Source organism: Homo sapiens, chromosome 1 (assembly GCF_000001405.40).
Source record: "Homo sapiens chromosome 1, GRCh38.p14 Primary Assembly".
Classification (NCBI taxonomy): Eukaryota; Metazoa; Chordata; class Mammalia; order Primates; family Hominidae; genus Homo; species Homo sapiens.
Window position 1 is genome coordinate 202,380,537 of NC_000001.11, and position 24,051 is coordinate 202,404,587.

Sequence of the window (24,051 nt, forward strand, 5' to 3'; positions counted from 1 at the left end):
GTTCAAGCTGTATACCCACCTCTTCCCCTGAGAGTAGAGCCCTGAAGCTTTATATTCTCAACACCCCCCCCATTCCTTGGCTCTGTCTTCTCAGTGTCAATAGATACCTTCTCTCTTCTTCGCTGTTGCCTGCTTTGGTTACAGATTCCAGAGCTTTTCCTGACTTTTCTGGTAAATTATTACTCTGAACTTGAGTGTATCCCTTTGAAGATCTCCTGTGCTTGTACCAAACAAATGATTGTGTATATGCCTTTTGAATTCTTCATATTTGAGTCATGCTCTGTTCTAACACTTGAAGTATTAAAATCTCAAGTATCTATAGTGTAGTCTTTGAAAGTCACTGTCTTTTGATCAAGTGTTCATGCGGTTGTTAGGGTAATTAATTGGATTGCACTGATAGTGCTAGAATTTATAAAGCAATTACTTCCTTTACTAATGACTACCCACGTTCTCTTTCTTATTCATAGATGCTCTCTCTTATTGACGTGTACATAAATTGTATCTCAATAGCATTCCGGGATTTTTATACATATACATTTCTCATATAAATGTGTCTGTATTCCCTTGCACACACACATTCCATACATACATATGTGTACATACATACGTACTTTTCAGATTATTGAAATCCCCAAAGGACCTCAAGGTTATTTGGAATTATTCAGTGTAAGAACAATAACTCTATTTCTTCTCTGAATTTCAGTGGGGGCAAGAGTCCCTAGTGATTATCTATCTTACCCTTAGAGAAAAAGGAAGAAAAGGGAAAGAAAAAAAAGGACCTTTTGGTTTGACCTGATCTAGATATCTGAGTATTTTTCCTTTGTATTGATGAGCGTGGGAGTGGTTTTGATGAGCTTTGGGGTGTGTGTGTGTGTGTGTGTGTGTGTGTGTGTGTGTGTGTATCATCCCTCAACTGCCTCCTCCAGCCTAGGCCAAGACTACTCATGGAGCAGTCCTTTCTAGACAGGTAACTGCTCATCCTGGCTTTCAATTATGACATAGGAAAATTTCCATCAGTGTTTTTCCTAAGCTAATAGGGACCCACATCTAGCTACTGGCATATTCAACTCTAAGAGCTTTTAGACCAGCTTGAAGACTGTCCAAGAAGGAAAGTCAGTATTGCATTTTCCATGGCTTCTGGGAATGGCCTAAGGAAAGGATATCTACAAATAATTCCAAATCCTTCCTTTATGGTATCTGTTAATACGTAGCATGTTAATATTAGAATTTTACCTTTGTCCTTTCTCCTAACCTTCTCATGGACTAGTGAGTAGCATAAAGTCCAGAATTATTAGGGCAACAGTAAGTTAGTAAGAGAAACAAAGGGCTGGAAGGATCTGTAAACCAACAATTGTAGAACAATTGACCCAACCATTCCATTAGTGGGTGTATACCCAAAGGATTATAAATCATGCTGCTGTAAAGACACATGCACGCGTATGTTTATTGCAGCACTATTCACAATAGCAAAGACGTGGAACCAACCCAAATGTCCAACAATGATAGACTGGATTAAGAAAATGTGGCACATATACACCATGGAATACTATGCAGCCATAAAAAATGATGAGTTCATGTCCTTTGTAGGGACATGGATGAAGCTGGAAACCATCATTCTGAGCAAACTGTGGCAAGGACAAAAAACCAAACATCGCATGTTCTCCCTCATAGGTGGGAATTGAACAATGAGAACACTTGGACACTGGAAGGGGGACATCACACACTGGGGCCTGTTGTGGAGTGGGGGGAGGGGGGAGGGATAGCATTAGGAGATATACCTAATGGAAATGATGAGTTAATGGGTGCAGTACGCCAACATGGCACATGTATACATATGTAACAAACCTGCACGTTGTGCACATGTACCCTAGAACTTAAAGTATAATAAAAAAAATATATATATAAAAGAAAAAGAAAAAAACCCACTTTATTTAAAAAATAAAAATAAAAAGGCAAAAAAAAAAAAGAAACAAATCTCCAACTTGGAAAGTTTGGAAAACAAAGCACCTTAAGTTAGAGGAAATGAATTTCTTTGAGAGCTTTAAAAAAATTGACTGTGGCTGGGCATGGTGGCTCACGCTTGTAATCCCAGCACTTTGGGAGGCTGAGGGGGGTGGATCATTTGAAGCCAGGAGTTCAAGACCAGCCTGGGCAACATGGCAAAACCCTGTCTCTACTAAAAATAAAAAAATTAGCCAGGCTGGTGGCATGCACCTGTAATCCTAGCTGCTCGGGAGGCTGAGGCAGGAGAATATCTTGAACCCTGGAGCCAGAGGTTACAGTGAGCCAAGACTGTGGCACTGCCCTCCAGCCTGGGGGACAGAGTAAGACTCTGTCTCAAAAAAAAAAAAAAGGTTGACTGTGAGATGTGTATATAAAATCCAAGAGTACTTTGTAATATTATTATTTAATAGTGATATCAATAAAGTTTAAATCTTGTTGATCCATCAAATTTTTTAGACTGGTTTCATTATGTAGAGATAGTTATAGAACAAAAAGAAATTGTCATCATATTCTCTTCATCCAGGACAAGTAACTAAAAAATTTCAAGTCAATTAAGTTTGCAATTGTTCATGTTTTAAGAACTGCATAGTCTAACTGCCTTAGGGTTTGGAATTTTGATATGAGGAAGCCCTAATGCTTTTTACAATCCCATCTTATTAAATTAAGAAGTCTTATGAGATATTGTTTAACTGTGCCCAGCTGACCAACTTCATATAAGGTTTATGAAAGTCAGCTTAAGAGATAGACCATTAGCAATACAGTTGAATATATCTTCATATTTTTTACTTCATAGGAATGTATCCCTAAATATTTTATAATATTGTCTTACATTTTTATGATCTATAAATGACATCATATTCTATGTATCCTTTTGCTATGTGCTTTTTAAAATTTCCCATATGGCCAGGTTTGGTGGCTCATGCTTGTAATCCCAGCGCTTTGGGAGGCTGAGGCAGGGAGATCACTTGAGATCAGGAGTTAAAGACCAGCCTGGCCAACATGGCTAAACTCTGTCTCTATTAAAAATACAAAAATTAACTGGGTGTGGGGGCACACGCCTGTAATCACAGCTATTCGGGAGGCTGAGGCACAAGGATTGCTTGAACCCAGGAGGTGGAGGTTGCAGTGAGCCAAGATCCCACCCTTGCACTCCAGCCTGGGCAACAGAATAAGACTGTGTCTCAAAAAAAAAGAAAAAGATATAATCTAAATTATATTTGTTAAGATGTATCTCTTTTGATATACACAGCACCTATTCATTTATCTTCACATTGATACATATAACAATAATTTATTTTTTACATTGTTGTGTGGTAGCCCAGTGTATGATTATACCAAAATTTATTTCTTTTCTTACTGATGGACATGTAAGTTGTTTCTAGGATGTTGTTGCTTGTTTGCTTTTCTTTTGTTTGCCTTTGATACATAATGTTGAAATAAAAATCCAAACCACAAAGTGATATTACTTCACACCCACTAGGATGGCTTTAATAAAAAGACGGACAATAACAAATATTGGTGAGGGCATGAAAAAATTGGAGCCTCATACATTGCTGATGGGATTGTAAAATGGTACAACCACTTTGGTACACAGTCTAGCAGTTCTTCAAAATGTTAAGCATAAGAATTAACATTTGACCCATGAGTTCTGCTCCCAGGTATATATTCAAAATAATTAAAAACATATGCCCACATAACAACTTGTACATCATTGTTCACGGCAGCATTATTCACAATAACCAAAAGGTGGAAGCAGCCCAAATGTCCATCAACTGATGAACGAATATGCAAAATGTAGTATAGCTATAAAATGAAATATTATTCAGCCATAAAAAGGAATTGAAGTACTGATATATGCTACAACTTGGATAGACCATGAAAACATTACGCGAAGTGAAAGAAGTCAGACACAATAGGCTACATATTATATGATTTCACTTATATGAACTGTCTAGAAAAGACAAATCCACAGAAATAGAAAGTAAATTAATAGTTGCTAAGGGCTTGGGGGAAGGGGTGAGTGGAAAGTGATTGCTAATGGAACAGGGTTTCTCTTTGGAGAGATGAAAATGTCCTGAAATTGCATAGGATGATGGTTGCACAATTCTATGAATGTATTAAAAACCATTGAATTGTACACTTTCAGAAGGTGAATTTTATGGTATGTTGATTACATCTCAATGAAGATGTTATAAAAGACAATTAAAAAATTTATAGTGCTACTGTGAGCATTCTTGTACATGGTTTCATGTGTAAATGTGTTAGAATTTTCCTAGGGTTTATGTGAAAGATTAAACATTTGTGCATCTTCACTGGGTAAGTGATGTTCAAAGTGACTGGCTATGCCAGTGTACACTTCCTCCAACTGTGTAGGAAAGCTCTACATTTCCACTTACAATTGCTGTTGTCATATTTTTATATCACTAATTTCTCAGATTAAAACTGATAATAATTCTTTAATTGATTATTCTCAAACAATGCCAAGAGTGTGATGCTATTTGCAAATGGCTCTTGATTATTGCTGCTTGGATTTCCTGGTGATGAGCTGCAAAATATCAAGGCCCAAGTGATGTATTGGTTTATATTTGGGGTTTGTGCATGACCAACTTCATATAAGGTTTATGAAAATCAGGGAAAGATTGGGCAGATCTGTTACAGAAAATCTTCCTTAGCATCTCAGAAAATTACATCTGAACAATTTATGCTTAGACTGTTCAGTTTGCATATTATTTAGACTGTTTACATCTTTTACCATCCCTCTCAGTAGTTTCTTCTTCATGCAGCAGTTCTTTTTTCCCAGTGGCTTCTTCTTAGTTGAGGAAGTGTTGTGTTCTGTACTAGATGTTTTAAAAAGAAATATCTAAATTCAACTTCAGATTCAACATCTGGAAAAAAGAAGCTCATTCAAATAGCACCAGCAAACACCATAAAAATCTTGACATAAACTCATTACTAAAATAAAAACATTCATTTTAGTTGTTTCTCGAGTTTTTTAGGGTATTAAAATCTATTGGAAATTGTCCTAGAGTCTTTGGGGGCTGAGATCAGTATAGAATAATACAGCTGGAAGCTACCCTAGTGATCATAGAGCTCAACCCTCTCATTTTTACAGATCAAAAAACCTGAGGTTCAGGAAGGTGAAGTGAGTTGTGCAAGGGCTCACAGCTAAATCTATTTCAATCATACAATAACTGTCACATTTTCCTTTGTCATATTATTATGGATTAAATGTTTAGTCCAAGAGGGTTTTTTTGTGTTTTTGTGTTTTGTTTTGTTTTGCTTTTTTAGTAAGGATTTTATTCAAAAGGTTTACTGCAAGGGATGAAGGGACAATTATAATAAGGAGACTGCTGTAACCATAAGATTTGCAAGTGCCTCAAGAGCTATTTTTCTTTTTTCTTTTTTTTTTTTGAGACGGAGTCTTGCTCTGTCACCCAGGCTGGAGTGCAGTGGCACGATCTTGGCTCACTGCAAGCTCCACCTCCCGGGTTCACACCATTCTCCTGCCTCAGCCTCCCTAGTAGCTGGGACTACAGGCGCCCGCCACCATGCCCGGCTAATTTTTTGTGTTTTCGGTAGAGACGGGGTTTCACCGTGTTAGCCAGGATAGTCTCAATCTCCTGACCTCATGATCCACCCGACCTCCCAAAGTACTGGGATTACAGGCGTGAGCCACCGCACCCAGCCACTCAAGAGCTATTTTTCTATAGTAAAAAATACATGGCTAACTTCAGAATGTAAATGTAAATTTGAATACTTATGATGGGTTTCTGTGTATTTATTTGTTTATTTTTATTTATTTATTTTTTGAGACGAAGTCTTGCTCTGTCACCCAGGCTAGAGTGCAGTGGCGCAATCTTGGCTCACTGCAGCCTCCGCCTTCTGGGTTCACACTATTCTCCTGCCTCAGCCTCCCAAGTAGCTGGGACTACAGGTGCCCGCCACTGTGCCCAGCTAATTTTTTGTATTTTTAGTAGAGACGGTGTTTCACCGGGGTCTCGATCTCCTGACCTCGTGATCCACCTGCCTCGGCCTCCCAAAGTGCTGGGATTACAGGCGTGAGCCACGGCGCCTGGCCTGGGTTTCTGTGTATTTAATATGTTCTGTTGACTTTCTTTGACATTTGGCAAATTTAAGGCACTAAATAATAGTGAAAGAGCTGAAGTACTATTGTATTTAACACTTTGACAGAGGTTTTGTTGTTTTTTTTTTCTCCCGTGGGTAGTATATTTATCCTACTGTTGTTTGATTTTTATAATATGCTAGTCTTCATGAAGGCCATTTTCATGAGAATATATTTAGGTATATTTTCGCCTAAGGACTTTGCCAAACTGCAATTAAAATAATGGAATTACACAACTTTTCATGGCATCCTATTCTTTTACAGAGAGGAATGGAGAAGTGAAATAAAAATAAGTTAGGTGATAAGAACATTTTAGAAGAGCTTTTGTTCATTGCTAGTCCTAACTTAGTCTAGTGACTAAGAAGATGCAACTATTGATGTTTATATTTGCATGCAGTTATTGATTTTGTGTCAGAAAGCCTTCTGGTACTTGCTGTGGTCTTTCCAATGCTGTTAAGCTGGAAGAATGACTTTGCTCTTGGCCTTTACTATAGCCTTTGAAAACAAAGTATTAACATTATTTTAAGCCTTTGAGTTTTTGCCATTCAGCCTTAAGTTGGCATACTCTGTCAACAACGTCAGTGTGGCATATTAACAAGACTAACTGCTCCAGAAAATAGGCTGGGCTACTACCAGTTATGTAGAAGGTTTCATTGAGTTCTAAAATTTCAGAGCAAGAAAGGTGAAACTTAGTCTCAAAAAGATATGGGGATCATCTCTGCTTAGTCTTAATTAAGTGAAGACTTTGGCACCCTGAAAGCCTAAGGAGTGAGGTCTCTGTTGGTATACTGCTATTTCAGGTTCATTTGAATTAATCTCTGAGGTTGTTAACTAGATAGCTGTAACTCCAAAAAGACAACTTAAATGTGCCGGCTAGCTATTTGGCTACTCCTTAAACTTGGCTTCATTTTAATGTTTCGATGGTACAAGATTTTTTTTTTTCCTGATTCCGGTAAGGTAGAAAAGGATTATTTAATGATTTATTAAAAGGCCAGTCATTAGACTGTTCAAAAACAAACTCCCTATTTGATCCGTTTCTGCCTATCCCTTCAGATTTGACTGTTGTGATCTTCTAGGTCACATTCTACTGGGTGAGAAGGCAGTTTTCTATAATAGATGCACTAGAAGTTTAATCTAGTGTCGTAGGGTAATTCTGAATAGCAGATTTGGGAAGATAGGAGTGTTGTCACTTTACCTTTAAAGCAAGTCTTTGAATTGCCCTGTGTCACACAGTAAGAATATATGCAAATTAGTTGTGGGATTAACACATAGTTATGGGATAGACTAGCCATTGTTTAAAAGCAGAATAATTCTAAGGTAAATGAAATTTCAGAAAAAAAATTATATAAATTTAATTTGAATCAATACAAAATAGTTTTTCAAACCATCATTTGGAATATAATAGGTATACATTTAAGAATGTAATGGGAAAGAGGATCCTGTTCATAGAAGCAGCAAAAAAAAAAAAAAAGAGAAAAAATCACAAAATCCTTAGGAATAATTGCCCAGGAAGAAATATATAAGACTTTTCTTTTTTTGAGCTGGAGTCTCACTCTGTCACCGAGGCTGAAGGGCAGTGGCACAATCTTGGCTCACTGCAAGCTCTGCCTCCTGAGTTCAAGCGATTCTTCTGCCTCAGCCTCCTGAGTAGCTGGGACTGCAGGCGCACGCCACCACTAATTTTTGTATTTTAGTAGAGACGAGGCTAATTTTTGTATTTTTAGTAGAGATGAGGTTTCACCATGTTGGCCAGGCTGGTCTTGAACTCCTGACCTCAAGTGATCCACCCACCTTGGCCTCCCAAAGTGCTGGGATTACAGGTGTGAGCCACCACGCCCAGCCTATAAAACTTGTAGGAAGAAAATATAATACTTTATTATAAAGAACATGAAAGAAGGCCTAAATAAGTGGAGCTACTGATAGAAATAGTATTGTATCATCTCTCTTTCTTAATATTGATCTAGTAGTACTACAATAGTAACTACCTCATAGAATTGTTAGAATTAATATATGAAAGATCTTAAAACAGTTTCTGACACTTAGTAGGCTCCATAGTGTTTGCTATTATTGTTTTTATTATAAAATCCATGTAACTCTAGTCAAAATTTCCATGGAAAAATTTGGCAAGCTCATCCTGAATTTCATCTGAAAGAATTAATATGCAGAAATAGTCAAGTAAATCCCTCAAAATTCAATGAGGTGAGTCTTGACCTACCAGATGTCAAAATATAGTTAAGTAATTAAAATGCTATAGTATTGATAGAGGAATAGATAAACAGATAAATGAAAGAAATAGAGACTCCAGAAACAGACTCAATTACAGATAGGAATTTAATTTTGATAATGGTGACATTTCAAATTAATGGGGTAAAAATTGTGTTAGGAAAGTTGGCTCTCTACTTGGGGAAAAAAATTATACCCCCTAACTCTCACCATCTGAAAAGTAAGTTCCAAGGAATCAAATAGTTAATATAATTTTTAGAAGGAAATATAGGTGAATATTTTTATAACTAGGAAGCAAGGAAGAGGTGGGAGGGAGAAGACTTCCTGAGTAAAATGAAACTCAGAACTTTTCTATGACAAAAAACATCCTAAAAAAAGTTGAAAAACAAATGACAGACCAGGAAAAAGATTTTGTGATCAAGGATTAATATCCAGAGTAATGAACTCTTTATATAAACAATTTAAAAAATTTAACCGGCCGGGCGCGGTGGCTCATGCCTGTAATCCCAGCACTTTGGGAGGCTGAGGCGGGTGGATCACAAGGTCAGGAGATCGAGACCATCCTGGCTAACACGGTGAAACCCCGTCTCTACTAAAAATACAAAAAATTAGCCGGGTGTGGTGGCAGGCGCCTGTGGTCCCAGCTACTCGGGAGGCTGAGGCAGAACTGCGTGAACCCGGGAGGTGGAGCTTGCAGTGAGCCGAGATTGTGCCACTGCACAATGGGAAGTAGTTAAGTAATAAACATATGAGATAATATCCACATGGAAGGCCGGGCGAGGTGGCTAATCCCAGCACTTTGGGAGGCCAAGGCGGGAAATCACGAGGTCAGGAGTTCGAGACCAGCCTGGCCAACATAGTGAAACCCTGTCTCTACTAAAAATACAAAAATTAGCTGGGCATGGTGGTGCACGCTTGCAGTCCCAGCTACTCGGGAGGCTGAGGCAGGAGAATTGCTTGAGCCTGGGAGGCGGAGGTTGCAGTGAGCCAAGATCGCTCCACTGCACTCCAGTCTGGGCGACAGAGCGGGACTCTGTCTCAAAAAAAAAAAAAAAAAAAATCCACATGGAATTGCAAGGGACCCAGAATAGCCAAGACAATCCTGAAAAGAAGAACAAAGTAGGAAGACTCACACTTCCTGATTTTAAAACTTACTACAAAGCAATGGTAACCAAGACAGTGTGGTATCAGCACAAAGGTAGACAAGTACATCAATGGAATAGAATTGAGATTGTAGAAATCCGTGCAACTATGGTCAACTGATATATGACAAAGGTAAGACCATTCACTGGGGAAGGAATAGTGTTTTCAACAAATGGTACAGGGGGCAGCTGGATAACATGCAAAAGAATGAAGTTGGAGTCTTACCTCACACCATACAAAAGTTAAAATAGATCAAAGACCTAAATGTAAAAGCTAAAGCTATAAATCTCTTAGATGAAAACATAGCAGTAATGTTTTCCATGACCTCGGATTGATTAATTGATTGAATTTAATGATGAGCTATCAAATTGGATCCATGACCTCGGATTTAGCAAAAGGTTCTTAGATATGTCACCATAGCATGAGCAACAAAAGAAAAAATAATTTGAATTCATAAAAATTAAAAGCTTTATTTATTTATTTTTAAGAGGAAGGGTCTCACTCTGTTGCCCAGGCTGGAGTGCAGTGGTGCGATCATGGCCCACTGTAACCTCAAACTCCTGGGCTCTAGTGATCTTCCAACCTTAACCTCCCAAGTAACAAGGACTGCAGGTGTGTGACATCACATCCAGCTTTTTTTTTTTTTTTTTCATATGGGTTTTGCTATGGAGCCCAGGCTGGTCTCAACATCTTGGCCTCAACTGATCCTCCCACCTCAGCCTCCCAAAGTGTTGGGATTATGGGCATGAGCCACCACCACTCCTGGCCTAAAAGCTTAAAATACTTGACACTATCGAGAAAGCAGGTAGATCACTTGAGTCCTGGAGTTCAAGACCAGCTTGGGGCACTATAGCAGGACAACATCTCTACAAACAATTTGAAAAATTAGCCAGGCATAGTGGCACACACCTGTAGTCCCAGCTGCTGGAGAGGTTCAGGTGGGAGGATCATTTGGACCTGGAAGCATCGCTTGCAGTGAGCTGAGATCGTGCCACCGCACTGCAGGCTGGGTAACAGAGTAAGACCTTGTCCCCCAAAAAAAGAAAGTGATAAGACAACCCACAGAGTGAGAGATATTTGCAAATTATATATCTTGTAAGTGACTTGTATCTAGAATATATAAAGAACTTTAATAATAAATAAATAACTTAATAATAAGAAAAAATATCTCAATTAAAAAATGGACAAATAATCTAAATAGACATGCCTCTAAGGAAGATACACAAATGACCAATAAGCACCTGAAAAGATATTCAACATCAATTGTCATCAGGGAAATGCAATGAAAACCGTAATGAGATACCACTTTGTACCCACTAGGATGACTAGAACCAAAAAGTCAAATAATGACAAGTATTGGTGAGGGTGTGGTGAAATTGGAGCTCTCATATACTGCTGGTAAAAATGTAAGATGGGGCAGCCGCTGAAAAACAGTCTGGCAGTTCCTCAAACAATTAAGCATAGAGTTACCATATGATCCAGCAATTCTACTCCCATAAATGAAAACATATGTCCATACCAGCAATTCTACTCAGGTGTATTGAAGATAAATGAATTATCTTCAGGTGTACTGAAGATAAATGAATTATCTTCAGGTGTACTGAAGATAAATGAATTATCTTCAGGTGTACTGAAGATAAATGAATTATCTTCAGGTGTACTGAAGATAAATGAATTATCTTCAGGTGTACTGAAGATAAATGAATTATCTTCAGGTGTACTGAAGATAAATGAATTATCTTCAGGTGTACTGAAGATAAATGAATTATCTTCAGGTGTACTGAAGATAAATGAATTATCTTCAGGTGTACTGAAGATAAATGAATTATCTTCAGGTGTACTGAAGATAAATGAATTATCTTCAGGTGTACTGAAGATAAATGAATTATCTTCAGGTGTACTGAAGATAAATGAATTATCTTCAGGTGTACTGAAGATAAATGAATTATCTTCAGGTGTACTGAAGATAAATGAATTATCTTCAGGTGTACTGAAGATAAATGAATTATCTTCAGGTGTACTGAAGATAAATGAATTATCTTCAGGTGTACTGAAGATAAATGAATTATCTTCAGGTGTACTGAAGATAAATGAATTATCTTCAGGTGTACTGAAGATAAATGAAAACATGTGTCCATACAACACTTACACAAAAATGTTAATGGCAGCATTATTCATAATAACCAAAGGTGAACACAACCCAAATGTTCATCAGCTTATGGATAATCAAAATGTGTATCCATACAATGGAATATTATTTAGCCATAAAAAGGAATGAAATACTGATTCATGCTACAGTTTGGATGAGCCTTGAAAACAGATGCTAAGAGAAGTCAGTCACAGAAGTCTACGTATTATATGATTCTATTTATTTGAAAGTCCAGAATAGGGAAATCTCTGGAGTGGGAAAGTAGGTTGGTGGTTGCTTAGGGATAGGAGGAGGGAGGGTAAGAGGTTGAGGAGCAATAGCTAGAGGATACAGGACTTCTTTTTTTTTTCTTTTTTTTTTTGAGACAGTGTCTCACTCTGTCACCCAGGCTGGAGTGCAGTGGCGCAATCTTGTCTCACTGCAACCTCTGCCTCCTGGGCTTAAGTGATGCTCCCACCCCAGACTCCCAAGTAGCTGGGACTACAGGCCCACACCACACCTGGCTAATTTCTAATTTTTTGTATTTTTGCTAGAGACAGGGTTTCACCATGCTTCTCAGGCTGGTCTCAAACTCCTGAGCTCAAGTGATCCACCTGCCTAAGCCTCCCATAAGTGCTGGGATTACAGGCATGAGCCACCGTGCCTGAACCCAGGGCTTCTTTTTGAGATGATGGAAATTTTCTAAAATTGACTGTGGTGATGGTTTCACTTATCTATGACTATAATTTTTAAAAAAAGTACCTTTGAAATTATATACTTTTAAATTTAATTAATTTATTTTTCCAAAGACAGGATCTCTCTCTATTGCCCAGGCTGGAGTGCACTGGTGCGATCTCAACTCACTGCAACCTGCATCTTTTGGGTTAAAGGGATTCTCGTGCCTCAGCCTCCTCAGGGGCTGGGACTACAGGCACACACCACCAAGCCTGGCCAATTTTTTTGTATTTTTAGTAGAGACAGGGTTTTGCCATGTTGGCCAGGGTGGTCTCAAACTCCTGACCTCAAGTGATCTACCTACCTTGATCTCCCAAAGCGCTGGGATTACAAGAGTGAGCCACTGTGTCCAGCCTGAAATTATATACTTTAAATGGACCAATTGTATGGTATGTGAATTATATCTCAGTATAGCTGTTTTAACATTAAAAAAAATTTAAAACACATGAGAAACTTCTCAGATTTCATTGTTAATTAGCAAAACGCAAATCGAAACAGTGTTTTTTTTTTTCAGTTCTTTAACAGAAATTTAAAAATTAGTTCTTTTTTTTTTCCTTGAACCAAAAGAATTAGTTCTTTCAAGCATGGATATTGATATGGAATTGGGGAAATGGGTGCACTTAACTGTCTTGTAAATGGGCAAAGCCTTTTCAGAAGGCAGTTTGGCAGAATTTATAAAAATATATGCAGATCATTTGGCTCCTAAGTTTTATTTCTTTCCTTATTCTAGCATATGTACAGAAAGATGTATGTACAAAAATGTTCTTTTATTCCTTGTTTATAGTAAAAAATTAAGGAAAAACCTAAATTTATATAAATGGGGGAATGGTTAGATATTCACAGTATGGAAATCTTTTGCTGCTATGAACAAAAGAAGTAGACCCAGGTCTGGGCATGATGGCTCACTCCTGTAATCCCAACACTTTGGGAGGCCAAGGCAGGAGGATTGCTTAAGGCCAGGAGTTTGAGACCAGTCTGGGAAACATAGCAAGACCCTGTCTCTAAAAAATAAATAAATAAATAAAAAACAAAAGAGGTAGACCTACATAAACCTGTACTAACACTATGCAAGAACATTCTATAAGAATATTGTAAGTAGAAAGAAAAACTCACTGAAGTACATATAATATGTCCCCATTTACGCTTTTAAAAATTCTGGAAGATGGCCGGGTGTGGTGGCTCACGCCTGTAATCCCACCACTTTGGGAGGCTGAGGCAGGCAGATCACGAGGTCAGGAGATCGAGACCATCCTGGCTAACATGGCGAAACCCCATCTCTACTAAAAATACAAAAAATTAGCCGGGCATGGTGGCAGTGAGATCGCACCACTGCTGAGATCGCGCCAGCCAAGATCGCAGCTGAGATCATACCACTGCGCTCCAGTCTGGGCGACACAGCGAGACTCCATCTCAAAAAAAGAAAAAAAAAATTCTGAAAGATATATGAAAAGTACATGTAAGCACATAAGTATCTGGACAGTATTTTAGCAGGATATATTGTAGTTAGATTTTAATTTTTTTTCTCTTAACAATAAAAATATACTCTGTGTTACTAGATTACTTTAAGAAAATCAATTTGGGGCCGGGCACAGTGGCTCACGCCTGTAATCCAAGCACTTTGGGAGGCCAAGGCGAGCGGATCACCTGAGGTTGGGAGTTCAAGACCAGCCTGACCAACATGGAGAAACCCCATCTCTACTAAAAATACAAAATTAGCCGGGCATGGTGGCGCATGCCTGTAATCCTAGCTGCTCAGGAGGCTGAGGCAGGAAAATCACTTGAACCCATGAGGCGGACGTTGCGGTGAGCCGAAATTGCACCATTGCACTCTAGCCTGGGCAGCAAGAGTGAAACTCTGTCTCAGAAAAAAAAAGGAAGGAAGGGGAAAGAAAAGAGAAAGGAGAAAAAAGAAATAAAAGAGAAGAGAAAAGAAAAGAAAATCAATTTGGGCTGGACCTGGTGGTTTACGCCTACAATCCCAGCACTTTGGGAGACTGGGCAGATCACCTGAGGTCAGGAATTCAAGACCAGCCTGGCCAACATGGTGAAACCCTGTCTCTACTAAAAATACAAAAATTAGCTGGATGTGGTAGTGGGCGCTGTAATCCCAGCTACTTGGGAGGCTGAGGCATGAGAATTGCTTAGACCTGGGAGGCAGAGGTTGTATTGAGTTGAGATGATGCCACTGCGCTCCAGCCTGGGCAACAAAGTGAGACTCTCTCAAAAAAAAAAAAAAAAAAAAGAAAGAAAATCAATTTGAAGAAAAAAGCTATAGTATACCTGATATTGGATGGAGCTTTGGTTTGGAAGTTAGGAACCCACAGCATTAGTTCTGCTATTGTCATAGACTTAAGCCCTCTCAAGTTGTTCAGGTTTCATTTGTCTCACATAACTCGGTGTTAGGAAGCAGTATTAGGACCATGTTGTTCCCCATTGTCACTTCCTGAGCATTATTTCTTATACTGTCTTATAAAAATAAAATACCGCCGCTCCCTTGATTCTCATGCCACCTTTTAACTCCCTCATTCATCAAAGACTTAGCTCACAACTTACTCTCCATCTCATTTTGCTATCAAATCATCCAACATTCACTTGGGTGACTGTTCCTGAAAATGTTTCTCATTTTGGGTGATTTTTCCCTCCACCTTGCTCTGTCACCCATTTCCACAGTTATACCCACGACACAAATGTCACCTATATCTGCTCCTCCTCTAATGCATCTGGCTTTTTGGCCATAATGTGGAATTGCTAGTTCAATCACTGCTATTATAACCAGTTCTAATTGGGACTTCCAATTCTTTTTCCCATTTACTTCTTTATAATTCATCAGCTTTCCTTCTTCTCTTGCTTAGATTCTGTTTACTTTAATAACACTTTCCCTAAACCCTAAACTCGTTACCTCTCTGAAATTTTTGAACTTATCTGGCAACGTCCTAACTGGATGAACCTAACTCTGATTTCTCTGTGGTTACACCTAAGTGGATGAAAATCACCAAATAGTATACGTTTTTATCACTTTACATTCATGGTCCCCAAATTCAAATAGATCCTTTCCATTGTCTGGAAACCCAGTCGTATGTCCCTGGCCAACTCACTCATTTCTCTGGAATGATCATTTCATACTTCTGTATGCTCCTCACCCTTCTGAGCATTCTACTTCCTCCCTTTTTCTGAACAGTCGATACCACCTCCTACTGCTTTGCTTCCTACTCCACAACCACTCTGATCTGGCTTTTGTGTTTATCACTGCACCAAAAAAACCCTTTTAACAAGTGCTTTAACATGAGACTTGTGAAAGTCTCTAGTGCCCTATAGGTTGTTACATTTAGAGTTGGTATAATAAAATGGTTCAGAATTATGCTCTGGAGCCAGACTGATTGGATTTGAATGCTGGCTCCTTAGTTTTTAGCCATGTGACCTTGGGCATGTTACTTAATCTTCTAAAAATGATGATGATGATAATAATAGTAATATTTATCTTATTAGCTTGCCAGGAGGATTTAATGAATATTAATTCACTGACATTCATTATGTGGGGCAGTGTTTAATGAATATTAATTCATTAATATTCAATATATGGGGCAGTGTTTCACCCATGTATAGTAAGCCCTTAATAAATGTTAACTGATATTATTGCTCCTACCACTACCTCTGTTACTACTGTGATTACTACTACTTCACAGATAAAACAGAGAAATTAGATGGGAATTTCTTATTTGTTATTACTTTTTTGAGACAAAGTCCCTCTTTGTCACTCAGACTGAAGTGCAGTGTCGCACTGCAAGGCTTGGCTCACTGCAAGCAATGCCTTTGGGGCTCAAGTGATCCTCCCACCTCAGCCTCCCAAGTAGCTGGGACTATAGGTGCGTGCCATCATGCGTGGCTAATTTTTGTATTTTTTGTAGAGATGGGGTTTCACCATGTTGCCCAGGCTCAATTTTTATCTCTAAACCACTCTACCTATGTCTGAGGCATTCTCTTTTCCTTCCCTCCTATTGCAGTGGAGAGTTTTTCCCATTTAAGGCTAATCCTTCTGTCTTTATTTTGGAGCCTTTCTCTTTAATCTCACGCTATCCAACCTTATTCGCCAACCTTTTCTTTTTATGTGAATGCTTCTAAATATAATTAAAGATGCTCAAGTCTCTTTCATTTTACAATAACAACATTTTATGGCCCCTTCCTGGCTTCCATCTATCACTCTGTCTCTTTCCTCCCTTTCTTAGCCATATTTTTCAAGACTTATCAATGCTCTCATTTCCTTTCACTCTTCATTCCATTCTTAATCTTGCTCTTTCCCGATTACTGCACTGAAACATTTCAAGCTCAGGTCCTCCGTGACCTTTACATTGCTAATTCTGACATGTCCTTTCTTCAGCTTACTTGACTGTTAGCAGCATCAACCACTCTTTCTTGAAACACTTTCATCCTATGACTTCCATGCTAAATTTGTTTTTCTTTTCTCTTCTCTGGTTATACCACCTTTACTCACTCATCCTTTCCTACATGGTTTTTAAATGCTAGAATTTCTCATAGCTTTGTGGTAGGTTGTCTTTTCACACTACTCTCTTGCCAGGTCTTGTCCACATGCCCAGCTTCAAATAGACCAGAAAAAATATTGGCTGCTATCACCAGTATTATGATATTCCTCAACCTTTCCCTTCCTTAGAGGACTTTTGGGAAGACACATGGGGATATATTTAAAATTTGAGTTTTTTGGAAGAAAGGATGGCATTATAACTTACATTATTCCATTGAAATTAATCTAGATCTAAAATATAAGAAAACCCAATCCTTTTAGTCAGATATATTAAAATAACATATTGGAAGAAAAAAAGTTGTTGATAATAGTGTGTCTAAAGTTACTATCCCTTGAGTTAGCAATTATGAGAATGTCCAAATTCAGCAATAATTAAATACTATGCATGTAGCTATTTTCTGGCACTGAAGAAAATCATGATAGCAATGGTAGTAGTAATAACAATGGCACTGGCAAGAATACAGCATAGTCCTAACATAAATATTTTCTTTTTTACTTTTGAGATGGAGTCTTGCCCTGTCGCCCAGGCTGGAGTGCAGTGGTGCAATCTCAGCTCACTGCAACCTCCACCTCCTGGACTCAAGTGATTCTCCCACCTCAGCCTCCCGAGTAGCTGGACTACAGGTGTGCGCCCCTGTGCCCAGCTAAAAAGTATTTTCTATATGTTTGATTTTTTTAGGAGACAGTATGCCAAATTCCTTAAATTTGGCAGATTCTCATAGTATATGATCTCATGCTCTGAAAGAGGGAAATAGACCACTGGAAAAATGGATAGTTCTCAGCTAGTGCATTACACGCACATGCATACACACATTAGAAACAAAAGAAGCAAAAACGAAAACCCAAGGACAAAGTGATTCTGATGTCATTATTTCCACAGCAAACAGCTGGGATTTTTACATATGTGACATTAACTTAGAAAACTTAGAAAATGTAAAGCTCCTACTTCATCCTCACTGTCATGTTAGTGTCACCTGGGGGCTGTGATCTGAATCTTCACTGAACTCTCTTCGTTATTATAGCATTCATTGATTTTGATGATATTAAATTGCCTTTTGGAAAATATTCACTATTTAGTTGTTGGAGTCCCTTCCTCCTTTAACCTGTTCTCCCAAAACAGCTTTGGTTTTTTTAAGAGACAGTGTGCCAGGCATGCTGGTTAGCCTAGAATTAGTAGACACAAGGAACCTTCTGTCAGAGGGATTGTTGTGTCTGGCACAGGATCATTTGGGCACAGTATCATAGCTTGCCTGGCAGAAGTCTAAGCAAAGGGGCACAACACTCTTGGCAAGTTGAGAGTGGCAAGGGTAATGTCTTATGTTGCCCAAGTAACTCTGTTTTAGTTAGAATCCTGACTAGCTGAAAAAGCATACTTCTCTCAATGGCTTTGGTGAAGCCTTTTGATGATTGACTATTTCCTTAAGAGTTTAAGAGAAGGCTCAAAAAAGGGCTTTCATTCTGTTAACTTCTTGGTTTTTGCTATGTACATTGTTATATTGGTGGAAATTTCACATTTCATTATTTTATTTCCTTTTCCCCTCACTACTAAACATATATATATATTTTTTGTAAATTGAGGGAGATGAGCTTTTGAATCTCTAAAACCTAGTGTTGTGATTATCAATGTGTGGATTCTAAGATATCTGCTACCAACTAATAACAGCACCAAGACAACCTCTGGATGCTTACTGGATATGCCTGGGGATGGAATATTAACATGGTAAATTTTACTCAAAATAGGATATTAGAAATTATTTTCATATTTAATTATATTCATATTTGTCATATAACTAGGAGATTTCTTTCTTTTGACAGGGTCTCGCTCTGTCACCTAGGGCTGCAGTGTAGTGGTGCGTACATGGCTTACTGCAGCCTCATTTTCCTGGGCCTAAGCGATCCCCCTGCCTTAGCCTCCTATGTAGCTGGGACCACAGGCATGTGTTAGCATGCTCAGTGAATTTTTTAATTTTTTGTAGAGATGAGGGCTCATTTTGTTGTCCAAGCTGGTCTCAAACAATCCTCCCTCCTTACCTTCCTAAAATGCTGGGATTACAGGTGTGAGCCACCGCACCTTTTTTTTTTTTTGAAATGGAGTCTTGCTCTGTCGCCCAGGCTGGAGTGCAATGGCGCAATCTTGGCTCACTGCAAGCTCCACCTCCTGGGTTCAAGCCATTCTCCTGCCTCAGCCTCCTGAGTAGCTGGGACTACAGGTACCCACCGCCATGCTTGGCTAATTTTTTGTGTTTTTAGTAGAGATGGGGTTTCACCGTGTTAACCAGGATGGTCTCGATCTCCTGACCTCGTGATTTGCTTGCCTCAGCCTCCCAAAGTGCTGGGATTACAGGCATGAGCCACTGCGCCTGGCCGATATTTGTTTTTCCTTGATGATGGATTTAAAAGATCTTATTTCATTTATTTTTTATAATTTCAACTTTTAGATTCAGGGGGTACATGTACAAGTTTGTTAATGGGTATATCGTGTGATGCTGAAGTTTGGGGTATGATTGATCCCATCACCCAGTTAGCAAGTGTAGTACCCAATAGTTAGTTTTTCATCCCTAGCCCCTCTCCCTTTCTCTCTCCCTCCCTCTCTGCTCTAGTAGTCCCCAGTGTCTACTGTTGCCATCTTTATGTCCATGAATACCCAGTGTTTAGCTCACACTTATAAGTGAGAACATGCAGAATTTGTTTTCTGTTCCTGTGTTAATTTACTTAGGATAATGGCCTCCAGCTGCATCCATGTTACTGGAAAGCACATGATTTTGTTCCTTTTTATGGCACATAACTAGGAGATTTCTATCCTCGTTATTAATGTATTAGCTTGCTTTCTGTATTGTTAATATCATTAAGCAAATACATGCTTTGTGTGTGTAGAGCACTATTCTGGGCCCTGGGGATACAATTAGTAAGTCATAGACTCTGCATACAAGGAGTCTTGCTGAGAATTTGACCTATCAAAGATAACTACAATAAAATCCAATATACTACAATAGGTAATGGGAAACTGGTGGTAGTGGCTAGTATCTGCTAGGATGAGAAGAATAGTCAAGGCAGGCTTCATAGTGAAGGTAATGTTTAAACTAAGTCTTTCAGACCATGTAGAAGCTCTAAGCAGGAAAATGCATCCCAGGCAGAGGAAACAGCATGTGTAAATATATGAGGGCATGTGAAAGTGTGGCACACTTGCAGAATTGTTAGAGATTGTTATGGAAATGGTTTATAATAGCTAACAGCAATATGCATGAGCAGTTAAGTTGTGCCAGACACTGTTCCAACTGCTGTGTCCATATAAAGATATGTAATCTTCATAATAATACTAAGAAAGAAATAGTACTGTTATTCCCATTTTATAGATGGGGTAACTGAGGCAGAAAGAAGTTAAGTAACTTATACAAGGTCTTATAGCTATTAAGTTCCACAGCTGACATTTGAATTCAAACTTTCTGGCCAATGCACTAAATCAGGGGTCAGCAAACTATAGCTCATGGGCCAAATCCAGCCCACTGCCTGTTTTTGTACAACCTATAAGCTAAAAATAGTTTTGCACTTTTAATTAGCTGAAAAAGAAGTAAAATATTTTGTGATATGTGCAACTTATGTGAAATTCAGATTTTTAGTGTCCATAAAATTTTACTGGAACCCAGCTATAGTCGTTGGTTTAGTATTGTCTATAGCTGCTTTTACATTATAATGACAGAGTTGAATGTTTGCAAGAGACTATGATCTGCAAAGTGTAAAGTACTTCTTTCTTTTTTCTCTTTTTTCTCTTTTTTTTTTAGAGACAGGGTCAGGCTCTGGCACCTACGCTGGAGTATAATGGCACAGTCATACCTCACTGCAGTTTTGACCTCCTGGGTTTAAGCAAGTTATTCATCTCAGCCTCCCGAGTAGCTAGGACTACAGTTGTCCACCACCATGGCTGGCTAATTTAATTTTTTTTTTTTTTTTTTTTTTTTTTTTTGTAGAGATAGATTCTTGCCACATTGCCCAGGCTGGTCTTGAACTCCTGCCCTCAAGCAATTCATTCACCTTGGTCTCCCAAATAAAGTACTTTCTATTTGGCTCTTTACAGAGAAAGTTTGCTCTAAATCAATGCACTATACTGCCTCACAGTATATTTTGTTTTATTAATTAACACAAAGAATAGCATACGTTAATAGCAATACTTGGACTTATGTACTAGTTATCTTTTTAAAAATCTGTTTTCATATTTGTTGTCTTGTGTCCTCACATCAACCCTGAAATAAAAAGAAGGTTAAATTTGGTGTTTTTCTTGTATAGCTAAGAAACTTAGCTGTGGAAAGATTAGGATGGGCTGTGACATTAAAGTCAGACTCTTTTGCCTATACAGCATCTTACAACATCCTCCATTCTGTTCTGAAATTTCTCCTCTACCTCTGTCCTACATAACAGTTGTTCAGAGTTTGGGCTTGAGGACACTCTATAAATGAGACAGTTGAGACAGATTGAAAGCAAGGTAACACACACTCTTTCCTTAACCTTCAGTGCCTCTGCAACAGCATCTGAAATTTTCTGTCTTGGCAAGCTTCACCTAATTCTGAGCACCCTGCTAGTGAAGTGCTCTGGGAGGCTGGGATTTGACTGCAGATAAGTAAGCACTTACCATCAAAGGAGACAGGGGGCGTTTCTCATTTTCATTTCCATAAAGGGATGCCATTGCTTTGCCAGGCTATGTGGAAAGTCTTTGCCTTAACAGTGAATCTTGAGTCCTCTTTCAGGTTTTTACCTGTCCATATTCTACTTTTGGAACATGAGGTTTCTACCTTTTTGCTATTCCTGATCTTTTCCTGGACTTAGGAATGACTTCTCTTACCAACAAATCACGGAAGCTTTTCTTGTTACCTTGGTACTACCAGTAAGCTAGTCGGGGAGAGTGGAATCTAACTCTTCTATTTGTGATCTCAAGGGATGTTTGTGTTATTCATTGGTTTGTATTTTTCATTCTACTTCCCTTCTTCTAGGACATAGCAGTCTGAAGTTTGGACTACAGGCTATGTTTTGTTGTATCATTATGCTTGATGCTTTCAGGAAAAAACCAAGTTGTTCAGATTTCTCAAGTCTTAATCTCTAGTGTGTGTTCTGTTTTCAGCCTCAATAGTGAATTTATATTATCAGATATACAAAATTGATTATACCCAGATTTGGACTGTTAAGGCCTAGCAGAAACAAGACGCAGCTTTAAGAGAGGTCAACTATGTTTCTGCTCATAGCCAGCATTTCCTTGGCCTCGGACAGTGCTGAGGTCAGAGCAATGTAGAAAAACAATTTTCTGTCCAAGGGGTCAGATGCCTGAGAGATGCAACTCAAACACCTACAGTGAGGGGTAACATATACAGACATTTGTCAAAACTTAGTGAATGTATACCTAAGATTCGTGCTTTTCACTGTATGTAAATTTTACTTCAAAAGAAAAATAATACTGTAAAGAGGTATTTAACTCTAGTTTATAGTTAAGTATTTGGAGAAATTATTACTAATGTCTGAAATGGGATGAATGGATGAAGGGATGGATACATGACAAAGCAAATACAACATTAATAGTGGACGATAGCTTGTGTGGGTATATGGGGGGGTCACTGTGAACTTCTTTCAACTTTTCTGTGTTTGAACATCTTCATAAAAATTTTTGGGAAAATAAGAAAGTAAAGGGGATGGGCAGGTAATACAAATTAATAAAGAAGGCTTGGTGTAACACAGTAGAGAGAGATGGGGCCTGGGGCACTGAGAAACGCATGTTCTGCCTAAAGAAGGCAGCTGCCACTCAACTCCAACCAGTTGTTACTTTGTGGGAATCTGGCCCCAGTGTTGTAATCTAATTTTTAAAAAGGAGTTTCAAATATAGAATTTTTGTGTGCAAAAAATCTTTAATTTTAAAATACCATATGGGCCAAACAGTATATTTTTAATTTACCAACTCATTTTCTATTCCAAAGATTAAAATTTTCGAGAAGAAATTGGGGGTGTCCTCTTGAGTTGTAAAGTTACCATTGTTATCACTAACACGTGCCTTTAAAGAGATTTCAGCTGTAGCTGAGACCTTATACTGTAACCTCAATTCCCCTGTTGTGTGGGCTGCTGTACAATAATGCCTTGCCAGGCCCATGCCATGGTATTCATGACACTGACCCAACCAGGACTTTGCTGTGGGGCAGGGAACAGCTGTGAGGCTGGGCTGGTTGGCACTGATTTCTCTAGGCTCACTTTTGGATTATTTAATATGGAAAGGGCAACAGTACTTGTTAGTTTGCTGCTCAAATATAGTTCCTGAGTGTAAGTCACTTAGGCTTTAAGAGAAATTAGCACTAGTTGGGAATCAGAAACAGAAAAGACTTCTAAGACTTCCTTATATTCCCTGTTTTGTCTAAGTGGTGTCACAAATCACCCATGGTCCTAAGCTCTTAACAATCTCCATGTTATCCTTTCTCACCACTGACATTCTAATAAGTGACCCTTTCTGTTCATTTTACCTCAGGGGTACTTCTCAAATCCATGTCCTCCCCAGTGTCTTAGCTGCCAGTACCTTACTTCAAGACCTCATCCTCTCTTGCCTAGATTACAATTTCCTCACTGGTGTCTCTCATGAGTTTTTCCCTCCCAGTGGTTCAATCTTCATATTCCTACTGCAATTATCATTCTAAGATACAATTCTGTTAGTATCACTCTCTGGTTTAAAAACCTCAATACCTCCCTGTTGTCTTCAGGATAAAGGTGAGACTCTTTATCATGGATGGAATATAGGGACCTTCATGGCTGTCAACGTATCCTACCAGCCACAATTCCTTCTATTTTCCACTAGCCTGTAGGGTAAAGTTCCAATTTCTCAGTATGGCAAATGAAGCCCTACTTAAATTTCTATGCATGCCCCCACCCCCTTTTTAGTCTATGCATGCATAGAATTCTCACTATTCCAAAAAATGGACATTTTCTGTTTCCTCCAGACCTTTGCCTATGTTATTCTCTTTGCTTCAGATTCTCTTCATCGCTGCTGTTTCAGTGTTCTCTTTCTTCTTTATAACTCAGGTAAATAATTTTTTATTTTTATTTTTTAAATTTTTATTATAATTTTTTTGAGATGGAGTCTCACTCTATTGCCCAGGCTGGAGTGCAGTGGCGTGTCTTGGCTCACTGCAGCTCCAC

The 24,051-nt window shown here is 38.6% G+C and overlaps 1 protein-coding gene across 17 annotated transcripts in view, besides 1 other annotated feature; it reads left to right on the top strand.

Moving 5' to 3' along the window:
• PPP1R12B (protein phosphatase 1 regulatory subunit 12B) overlaps positions 1–24,051 on the top strand; it is a 244,004-nt gene that overhangs the window by 31,838 nt on the left and 188,115 nt on the right. The window lies entirely within an intron of this gene.
• Positions 18,608–18,869: a silencer, noted in NCBI's record as "fragment chr1:202368272-202368533 (GRCh37/hg19 assembly coordinates)". NCBI's record gives its function as "represses an EF-1alpha promoter that drives an FKBP-Casp9 reporter gene in an ReSE screen in K562 erythroleukemia cells {active_cell/tissue: K562}" and the evidence as "EXISTENCE:reporter gene assay evidence [ECO:0000049][PMID:32094911]".